The sequence below is a fragment of the Homo sapiens genome, chromosome 7 (assembly GCF_000001405.40).
Source record: "Homo sapiens chromosome 7, GRCh38.p14 Primary Assembly".
NCBI classification, from domain to species: Eukaryota; Metazoa; Chordata; class Mammalia; order Primates; family Hominidae; genus Homo; species Homo sapiens.
The window spans coordinates 5,463,694-5,474,998 of NC_000007.14; the positions used below are offsets into that span (position 1 = coordinate 5,463,694).

General features: G+C 53.9%; 1 protein-coding gene across 1 annotated transcript in view; it reads right to left on the reverse strand.

Annotated features, from left to right (window-relative positions):
- Positions 1-11,305, reverse strand: part of FBXL18 (F-box and leucine rich repeat protein 18) — a 59,385-nt gene that overhangs the window by 9,269 nt on the left and 38,811 nt on the right. The gene's annotated exons all lie outside the window — the stretch shown is intronic.

Below are 11,305 nucleotides of genomic sequence, written 5' to 3' on the forward strand. Positions count from 1 at the left end.
CTATATATATATTTATTTATTTATTTATTTATTTATTTTTTTTTTTTTTTTTTTTTTTTTTTTTTGAGACGGAGTCTCGCTCTGTCGCCCAGGCTTGAGTGCAGTAGTGCAGTCTCGGCTCACTACAACCTCTGCCTCCCAGGTTCAAGCGATTCTCCTGCCTCAGCTTCCTGAGTAGCTGGGATTACAGGCGTGCGCCACCACACCCAGCTAATTTTCATATTTTTAGTAGAGACGGGGTTTCGCCATGTTGGTCAGTCTGGTCTCGAACTACTGACCTCATGATCCACCCACCTCAGCCTCCCAACGTGCTGGGATTAAGGTGTGAGCCACCGCGCACCTGGCCTGAACTATACATTTTTAAATAACTGGCCGGGCGCGGTGACTCAGGCCTGTAATCGGAGCACTTTGGGAGGCCAAGGTGGGCGGATCACGAGGCCAGGAGTTCAAGACCAGCCTGGCCAACATGGTGAAACCCTGTATCTACTAAAAATACAAATATTAACTGGGCATGGTGGCTCATGCCTGTAATCCCAGCACTTTGGGAGGCCGAGGCAGGCGGATCACCTGAGGTCAGGAGTTCAAGACCAGCCTGGTCAACATGACAAAACCCTGTCTCTACTAAAAATACAAAAATTAGCCAGGCATGGTGGCGCACATCTGTAATCCCAGCTATTCGGGAGGCTGAGGCAGGGAGAATTGCTTGAACCCAGGAGGCAGAGGTTGCAGTGAGCCGAGATCACGCCACTGGACTCCAGCCCAGGAGACAGAGCAAGACTCCATCTCGAAAATAAAATAAAATAAAATAAGAATACAAAAATCAGCTGGGCGTTGTGGCAGGTGCCTGTGGTTCCAGCTACTTGGGAGGCTGGGGCAGAAGAATTGCTTCAACCCAGGAGACGAATGTTGCAGTGACCCGAGATGACACCACTGAACTCTAGCCTGGGCCAATGAGCAAAACTCTTATCTCAAAAAAAAAAAAAAAAAAAACACTAAGATGGTTAATTAAAAAAAAAAAAAAAAGTGGGTGGGAGCATGGAACATATATTCACATTTGTTTGGATATTAAAAAAAAAAAAACTACCAGTGGCTGGGCGTGGTGGCTCACACCTGTAATCCCAGCACTTTGGGAGGCCGAGGTGGGCAAATCACCAGAGGTTAGGAGTTTGAGACCAGCCTGGACAACACGGTGAAACCCCGTCCTACTAAAAATATAAAAATTAGCCGGTTGTGGTGGTGCGCGCCTGTAATCTCAGCTACTCGGGAGGCTGAGGCAGGAGAGTCACTTGAACCCAGGAGATGGAGGTTGCAGTGAGCCGAGACTGTGCCATTGCACTCCAGCCTGGGCGACAGAACGAAGCTCCATCTCAACAAACAATACTAATAAAATAAACAACTTTCTTACAATCAAAATAAAAGATCATATCGTATCTAGTTTCTGCAACTTCTCTCTGGGATCAATAGACTGTGAACTATTTTTTGTTTACCAGATCTATGATAGGTACGATTTTATTGATTATTTTTTTTGAGACGGTCGTGCTCTGTCGCCCAGGCTGCAGTGCAGTGGCATGATCTCAGCTTACTGCAACCTCCGCCTCCCTGGTTTGAGTGATTCTCCTGCCCCAGCCTCCCAAGTAACTGGGACTACAGGCGCACACCACCACACACAGGTAATTTTTGTATGTTTAGTCGAGACGGGGTTTCACCATGTTGGTCAGGCTCTTCTGGAACGCCTGACCTCAAGTGATCCACTCACCTCAGCCTCTCAAAGTGGACTGATTGATTGACTGATTGATTGATTGAGACAGTCTCACTCTGTTGCCCAGGCTGGAGTGCAGTGGTGCGATCATAGCTCACGGCAGCTTTGAACTCCTGGACTCAAACAGTCCTCCCACCTCACACCACTGCACTCCAGCTCGGGCAACAGAGCAAGACTGTGTCTCAAAAATAAAAATAAACAAAAATAAAATCTGGAAAAAGGGGGAGAGAGGGAGGGAGGGGAGAAATGGTGGAAAAACTACCTATTGGGTACTATGTTCGCTATTTGGGTGATGAGTTCACTGGAAGCCCAAACCCCAGATTATACAATACACCCATGTACAAAAGCTGCACAGGTACCTCCTAAATTTTTTTTTTTTTTTGGAAATGGAGTCTTAGTCTGTCGCCCAGTCTGGAGTGCAGGGGCACAATCTCAGCTCACTGCAACCTCTGCCTCCCAGGTTCAAGCGATTCTCCTGCCTCAGCCTCCCGAGTAGCTGGGATTACAGGCGCCAGCCACTATGCCCAGCTAATTTTTGTATTTTTAGTAGAGACAAGGTTTCACCATGTTGGGCAGGCTGGTCTTGAACTCCTAACCTCAGGTGATCTGCCTGCCTCGGCCTCCCAAAATGCTGGGATTATAGGCGTGAGCTACCGCACCTGGCCCTCCTGAATCTATTTTTAAAAAACAAGTCTGGTAAAAGACATCAGAGAATTTAAAAAAAAAAAAGAAAAGAAAAGAAAAAAAAAAGAGGTCACCAGAAACCCTTCCATCTGGAAGAAACGGTGTTAATTACCACACAGTGCCTTAAAGAAATGCAGGTTAAATCTCTTACAGTCTTGGAGGGTCAGAAGTCCGAGATAGGTCTCCCTGGGCTCAGGTCAAGTGCAGGCCGTGCTCCTCCTGGAGGTGCTGGGGGATGATCCCCTTTCCTGGCCTTTGCCAGCTTCTAGAATCTGCCTGCACTCCTTGGCTGGAGGGAGGACCTCACACACAGTGCGGCCTCTCCAGCACACAGAGTTGCTAGAGGTCCTCCCTCCAGCAACTGCCCGTGTTTCTCCCTCACCAGCCCTCGGCTCTTCCTCTCCTGCCTCCACGGCCCTGGTGATTGGACTGGGCCACCAGGATAATCCCAGAGCCTCTCCACATCTCAAGGTCCGCTGATCCGCAACTTCCGTTCCCCTCTGCCACAGAACCCGCAATCATGGGATCTGGGGACTGGGGCATGGACATCTCTGGGGCTCATTATTCTGCCTCCACAGCCGGTCACAGCACCGCCGTGCCACGACCCAGCCAAGGCCTGGGCAGGAGGCAGGAGGGAGGCAGGAGCCCGGGACTCCTGGGGGTGACAAAGTTTGCAGCTATCACCCTGATCCTCAATCCCGGAGGCAGCCAGCTGGAGGTCGCCCCATCTCGGGACACAAAAGCAAACTCAGTGGGCTTGTGGGGAACGAATGCGCAACAGAATTTACATCAATTTAAATGTACAGGCAGTGGCTCACTCCTGTAATCCCAGCACTTTGGGAGGCCGAGGCAGGCGGATCACCTGACGTCAGGAGTTCAAGACCAGCCTGGCCATCACGGCGAAACCCTGTCTCGATTAAAAATTTAAAAATTGGCCGGGCACAGTGGCTCACGCCTGTAATCCCAGCACTTTGGGAGGCGAAGGCGGGCGGATCACGAGTTCAGGAGATCGAGACCATCCTGGCTTACACAGTGAAACCCCGTCTCTACTAAAAATACAAAAAATTAGCCAGGCGCGGTGGCGAGCGCCTGTAGTCCCAGCTGCTCGGGAGGCTGAGGCAGAAGAATGGCCTGAACCTGGGAGGCGGAGCTTGCAGTGAGCCGAGATTGCGCCACTGCACTCCAGCCTGGGTGACAGAGCGAGACTCCGTCTTAAAAAATAATAATAATAAATAATAAATAATAAATAAAAATAAAAAATTAGCTGGGTGTGGTGGTGGGCACCTATAATCCCAGTGACTCGGGAGGCTGAGGCAGGAGAATCACTTGAACCTGGGAGGCGGAGGTTGCAGTGAGCCGAGATCACACCACCGCACCCCAGCCTGGGAGGCAGAGTGAGACTCCGTCTCCAAAAAAAAAAAAAGAAATCAGGGAACTTTGCAAATAAAAATACCCTTTTGGGCAGCAGCTGAGAGCTGTCCTTCCCGTTTCGAGGGCCAGATCACGCCAGGGAAAGACACTAAGGCCACACCTGATACACAGCTCCGCCTCTGGGGTCCTCAAAGTTCCTCCCCGTCAAAAAATATTAATCCTCCGCTCCAGCCGTTTCACTAAGGAGAGTCTCTTCTAAAGAAACAATCCTAAAGATAGAGAAACAGCAGCCTAAGGAGATGGGAGCTGCTTTCCTTAGGAGACTGACTCATTGGAGACAACCTAATTGTCTGACAGCAGAAAGAGCTTGTGACAGCAAAGCCCTGTCATTAAAATGATGGAGGAACCCAAGAGGCTGCACTGCGTGTGTGAGCAGAAAAGCAGGACCCGAAATCCAATGATTGCAGCCTCGAACTTTTTTTTTTTTTTTTTGGAGATGGAATCTCGCTCTGTCGCCCAGGCTGGAGTGCAGTGGCACGATCTCGGCTCACTGCAAGCTCTGCCTCCCGGGTTCAAGCAATTCTCCTGCCTCAGTCTCCCGAGTAGCTGGGACTACAGGCGCCCGCCACCACACCCAGCTAATTTTTCTGTATTTTTAGTAGAGACGGGGTTTCACCGTGTTAGCCAGGATGGTCTCGATCTCCTGACCTCGTGATCCGCCCGCCTCGGCCTCCCAAAGTGCTGGGATTACAGGCATGACCCACTGCGCCGAGCCCTGTTTTTGTATTTTTAGTAGAAACGGGATTTCACTGTGTCAGCCAGGATGGCCTCGATCTCCTGACCTCATGATCTGCCCGCCTTGGCCTCCCAAAGTGCTGGGATTACAGGCGTGAGCCACCACGCCCAGCCACCTCAGACATTTTTTAAGAGCCTAGAACAAAGGCTGGAAAGACGTTAACTGAAATATTAACGGATGCACTGCCAGGCGGGTGAGAACGTGGGTGTGAACTATCTTTTCCCTCTGTTCTACTTTTCGGAAATTTTCACATTTTCTAGAAAAGGAACATAATAGAACTAAGTTTACCTCTTTTTATATTTATTTAGTTAGTTATTGAGACAGCGTCTTACTCTGTTGCCCAGGCTGGAGTGCAGTGGTGATCTTGGCTCTCTGCAGACAACAACTCCTGGGCTCAAACGATCCTCCCACCTCAGCCTCTCAAGTAGCTGAGACTACAGACGCGCACCACCACGACGGGCTAACTTTTTAGTTTTTGTAGAGACAAGGATCTCACTATGTTGCCCAGGCTGATCTCAAATTCCTGGCCTCAAGTGATCCTCCCATCTCAGCCTCCCAAAGTACTGGGATTACAGGCATGAGCCAACATGCCAGGGCCTAAGTTCACCTCTAATCAAACTGGCTGTGTTCACTACTAGGTGTATAAAATTAATCCAGTCCCTTTGTTTTGGTGTGTGAATGTGTGTGTGAATTGAGAGTGTGTGGTGTGCGGGTGTGATGAGACATAGGAGACTGTGCGTGAGCAGTGGGGGTTGTGTGTGTGTCTGCATCTGTGTGGACATGTCTGAGTGACTATGTATGAAGAATGTGTGTAAGAATGAGTTATGAGTGGACTCTGTGGCTCACGCCTGTAATCCCAGCACTTTGGGAGGCCGAAGTGGGTGGATCACCTGAGGTCAGGAGTTCGAGACCAGACTGGCCAACATGGTGAAACCCCGTTTCTACTAAAAATACAAAAATCAGCCAGGCATGGTGGCGTGCACCTGTAATCCCAGCTACTCGGGAGGCTGAGGCAGAAGAATCGCTTGAACTCCGGAGGTGGAGGTTGCAGTGAGCTGAGATCGTGCCACTGCACTCCAGCCTGGGTAACAGGGCAAGACTGTCTCAAAAAAAATTTTTTTAAAAGAATGTGAGTTATGTGAGCATGTGTGTGCTACATGAGTGAACACGGGCATGTGTGTGTAAATGAGCACATCTGTACTTGTGCACGTGAGTGTGAATGTGTGAGCTATCAGTGTGTGGGTGTGTGTGGGGGGGGTGTACGTGCAAATCCACACAGGTGCTGCGTGGAGATGAGAACGTGTGTGGTGTGGGTGTGAGTGTGAGCGTGCAAGGGTGTGCATATAGGAAGCTCCGTGTGTGGATGTGAGCGTGGGAGCGTGCCGTGGAAAGCATGGGGTGTCCGTGTAAGTAGAGTGCGTGTGGGGTGAGCAGAGGTGTGTCTGTGTGGCTGGGGTGGAGGTGTGGACTCAGGCGGTGTTTGTGGACATGTGGAAGTGTGAGCACTGCTGGAACTGTGTGTGTGTGATATGGGTGTGACACGGGAGAGGGTTTATGAGCCTGAGTGTGAGTGTGCAGGTGTGTGTGCGAGGGCATGTGTGTGGGTGTGGTGTGTGTGAATGCGGAGTGTGCGAGTAAACGTCCGTGTGTGAATGTCAGAGTGTGGGATGTGGCATGTGATTGTCAGAGTGTCTGAAGTGTACGGGTATGAACGGGCGTGGGCGTGGGGCCGTTGGACGAGTGAGTGCACATGCGTGTGCGTGTGCCAGTCTGCGGGCGTGGGTGAGGGACTGATGGAGCGTGTGCCTTCCCAGCAGGGGCTAGAGATCAGCCTCGGGCAGTGACGCTGGGGCACCTCCCCTGCCAGCCATCATCTTCCCCAGGCTCTGCAAGGCTCAGCTGCATGCTGGCCGAGGGGGCCTGGCACACAGAGGCCGATCCCCAGAGGGACAGCAGGGGTCTGGCATCATGGCAGGGGACACAGCGCCACCCTCAGGGGCCCCGTGACCAAGGCGTGCCCCTCCCTACCCCTCACACATCCACCCCTCCACCCTGCCCCCAAGGCGGGTACCCAGCGCAGGCCCGGGCAGCTGCCCCAGCTCCTGGACCCTCCACATCAGAGTTCCCAAGACACCCGTGCCCGCGGGAGCCTGAGCTGCCACGAAACCCGAGAGCCAGGAACTCTGGGAAACCCGCAGTTCTGAGCTGCCCAGAGAAACCGCAGGAAGGGCCTGGCCAGCAAGTCACCATTCCCGGCTCCTGAGTGTCACCACGGCCAGCCTTCCACAGGGCAGGCAGACACAAGACACAACACACAAAAGGAAGGGGAGACCCCCAGGCCCCTTCCGCAGAGGCTTCTCCGACCCCCGGCCCAGAGGCTGCCCCCTCCCCTTCCCGGGGGGGAGATGTCCCCTTCCCGGGGGGGAGATGTCCACTTCCTGAGCTTGGAACACAGCAGAGTGGCCCCCGGCACCTGTGAAGGGACACAGGTGACATCCTTTGCTCTCCCAGCGCGGCCGGCTGGGAGCTCTCCTCCTTCACCCAAGGCCTGGAGATGGCGGTGGCTGAGAAAGGCTGGCCGGGTTCCCAGGCTGCTCCAGCCACGCAGAGGCGTCCCTGTGTCCTTGCCAATGGTATCTGAGTAGGGACTCCCCTCCCTCATCCGTGCAGAGCAGAGGCCCAGCGTGCAGCATCTCACCCGGGCTCTGTGACTGTGCGACACGCTAACCACCACTAGCTGCGTGGCCTTAAGCAGGCAGCTGACCCCCGGGCGCCCCGACTTCATCTGCAAAGCAAGGGTCACGGCAAACCATGGCTCCGAAGCTAGGATTCCGTCACGCCATCTCCACTATCCTGCAAGTTCAACGCCCGCAATAAATCAGCCGCTGTGCAGGGCTCCTGGGGGCAGCCAAAGCCTCTCGAGCTGGCTCTTCCGCCCTCCTCCAGCCACGACTCCCGAGGCTTCCAGTGCAAACCCTCGGAACACACGGGCCGGGGCTTTTTCGCTCTGTCGCCCAGGCTGGAGTGCAGTGGCGCGATCTCGGCTCACTACAACCTCCGCCTCCCGGGTTCACGCCATTCTCCTGCCTCAGCCTCCCAAGTAGCTGGGACTACAGGCGCCCGCCACCACACCCAGTTAATTTTTTGTATTTTTAGTAGAGACGGGGCTTCACCATGTTAGCCAGGATGGTCTCAATCTCCTGACCTCGTGATCCGCCTGCCTCGGCCTCCCAAAGTGCTGGGACTACAGGAGCCCGCCATCACGCCCGGCTAATTTTTTGTATTTTTAGTAGAGACGGGGCTTCACCGTGTTAGCCAGGATGGTCTCGATCTCCTGACCTCATGATCTGCCCTCCTCGGCCTCCCAAAGTGCTTTTCATTTTTACTTTAAAGGCTCGCCACATGGACAAAGGCCAGGCGGCTTCACACACTCAGTCGACTCCAGGTACAGACCCCTGACCTTTTCAGGGCTCTTCGCATGTTCTGGCCTCCCTGGCGTAGTGCCCCCCACAAAACAGGGGCATCATGGCCAGGCGCGGTGGCTCACGCCTGTAATCCCAGCATTTTGGGAGGCTGAGGCGGGAGGATTTCTTGAGCCCAGGAGTTTGAGACCAGCCTGGGCAACACAGTAAGACCCTGTGTGGTGTGGTGGGGCGCACCTACAGTCCCACCTCCTCGGGAGGCTGGGGCAGGAAGATCACTCAAGCCCAGGAGGTCGAGGCTGCAGTGAAGCAGGATGACGCCACTGCACTCCAGCCTGGGTGACAGAGCAAGACCCTATCTCAAAACAAAAATGAAGCAGGAGCATCAGCTCAGGAGGTGTGTGGGAAAACACAAGTTCCCCCAGACCTGGGCTGAAGCCGCTGCCCCCACTACACCCCCAGCACGCCCCTCAGCAAGGCCAAGGCCAACACCAACAGGCCCAGTGCACTAAGACGCACTTTCTAAAAATGGCCACAACATGACCTCCCACCCCAAGAGGTCTTCTGCAATGACAGCTCATCACTCATCCTGGCAAGTGGGGGGTCTGTGCCCCGTCTCTTGACTGTGGCAGCTTCTGGGACTGCCTTGGTCAACAGGGTGTGGAAGTGATGCCATGTGACAGCCAAAGCCAGGGCCCGTCCTTCTGGTTTTCTGGAGACGCTTGCTCTTGGGACCCAGCTGCCACGCTGTGAGGAAGCCCAACTAGCCTATGTAGAGAGACCACATGGAGAGGCCACTTAGACCACATGGAGAGACCACATGGAGGGGCCACATGGAGAGGCCACGTGACAAGGCCACATGGAGAGGTCTCATGGAGAGGCCACACGAGGCCACATGGAGGTGTTCTGGCCACAGGCCCCACTGAGGTCCAGGTCAACACCAGCATTGACCACCAGACCTGCGAGTGAAGATGCTTCCAGGAGACTTCAGTCCCCAACTGCTGAGTCACTGTGGTGGAGGCTCCAGACACCATGGAACAGATAACTCGTAGTGCCATCCCCTGTGCAAATACCTGCCCTGGAGAAGCCGTGAGCACCCCACAGTGGCCGTTCTGGACCCTGAACTTGGGAGTGCCTTGTTATGTACAAGACAGAATGTTTCTGGCTATTGCTCAGCCTTGGCGCTCCTCTCCCCCGCTTGCCTGTCACTGTAATGACAGTCTCACATGTTCCTCTGAAGGAAGGGCTCCTGGGCTTCCTCGCTGCACACATTCCCATCCTCTCTCCCCTGCTGCAGCCATTGGCGTCGGCAGCACAGAGTATCAGCCCCCACCCACTGCCCAATTCCCCAGCACCGACCGCTGATTTCCCTCCAGCCAGACACAAGACATCACCAGGGGACGGTGTGTACATGTCAAGCTGCAGGCAACGGCTCAGACAATGTTGGGCAGGATGGGAGGCTCCTGGCCCTATGTCGCCATTTCTGCCAGAGAAACACCATCACCTCAAGAACCAAGCCAGAAGGAGGCATTGCTGAGTCCCTGGCTCATGTGAGGGGCCCCACCCTGGCCGCTCCGTTCTGCAGCAGCCCTGGAGCCCACCCTCTGCCGGCAGCCCTGTCCCCATCCGGATCCTGGTGCCTCCTCCCACCTCCTGCCACATTTGGGCCGAGCCTCTTCCCAGAGCCCAGGACAGGTAAAGGAGGTCTCTGCCCCAAACTGACACTGCAAATACACCAGCCTCAAGAGCACAAGTGCCGGGTGCGGTGGTTCATGCCTGTAATCCCAACACTTTGGGAGGCCAAGGTGGGTGGATCACCTGAGGTCAGGAGTTCGAGACCAGCCTGGCCAACATGGTGAAACCCCGTCTCTACTAAAAATACAAAAAACAGCTGGGCATGGTGGCACATGCCTCTTACCCAGCTACTCAGGAGGCTGAGGCAGGAGAATTGCTTGAACTCGGGAGGCAGAGGTTGCAGTGAGCCGAGATTGTGCCACTGCACTCCAGCCTGGGCGACAGAATGGGACTCCATCTCAAAAAAAAAAAAAAAAAAAGCACATGCACTGCAGATTTCACTCTTTTTTTAGGTGGAGTCTCACTCTGTTGCCCAGGCTGCTGGAGGGTAATAGTGCGGCCTTGGCTCACTGCAGCCCCCACCTCCCAGGTTCAAGTGATTCTCCTCCCTCAGCCTCCTAAGTAGCTGGGACTACAGGCGTGCGCCACACCATGCCCGGCTAATTTTTGTACTTTTTGTAGAGATGGGGTTTCACCATGTTGGTCAGGCTGGTCTCAAACTCCTGACCTCAGGTGATCCACCAGCCTTGGCCTCTCCAACTGCTGGGATTACAGGCGTGAGCCATTGTGCCTGGCCCAGATTCCACTTCTATGGGGCACCCAGAGGAGTCAAACTCATAGGGACAGGAAGTAGAATGGTGGGTGCCTGGGGCTGAGGGAGGGGGCTGGGGAGTGAATGTTTAATGGGGACAGAGTTTCAGTTGGGAAAGATGAGAAAGTTCTAGAAGCGGATGGTGATGATGGCTGCACAACACTGTGATGTGCTTAATGCCACCGAACTGTGCAGTTCGTTTTTTTTTTTTTTCTGAGACAGGGTCTCGCTCTGTCACCCAGGCTGGAGTGCAGTGGTGCAATCACGGCTCACTGCAACAGTGACCTCCCAGGCTCAAGCGATCCTTCTGCCTCAGCCTCCCCCTAAGTAGCTGGGACCACAGACAGGTGTGTGCCGCCATGCCCGGCTAATATTTGTACTTTTTGTAGAGACAAGGTCTGACTACGTTGCCCAGGCTGCTCTCAAACTCCTGGGCACAAGTGTTGTTTCTGCCTCGATCTCCCAAAGTGCTGGGATTACAAGCATGAGCCACCGCCCCCAGCTTGAACTATGCACTTTATTTTACTTTTTTTTCTTCAAAAAAATCCTCCGCTGGCAAATTATGCACTTTATTTTTTATTTATTTATTTATTTATTTATTTATTTATTTATTTGAGACAGAGTCTCGCTCTGTCACCCAGGCTGGAGTGCAGTGGCGCGATCTCGGCTCACTGCAAGCTCCGCCTCCCGGGTTCAGGCCATTCTCCTGCCTCAGCCTCCCGAGCAGCTGGGACTACAGGCGCCCGCCACCACGCCCAGCTAATATTTTTGTATTTTCAGTAGAGACGGGGTTTCACCGTGTTCGCCAGGGTGGTCTTGATCTCCTGACCTCGTGATCCGCCCGCCTCGGCCTCCCAAAGTGCTGGGATGACAGGCGTGAGCCACCG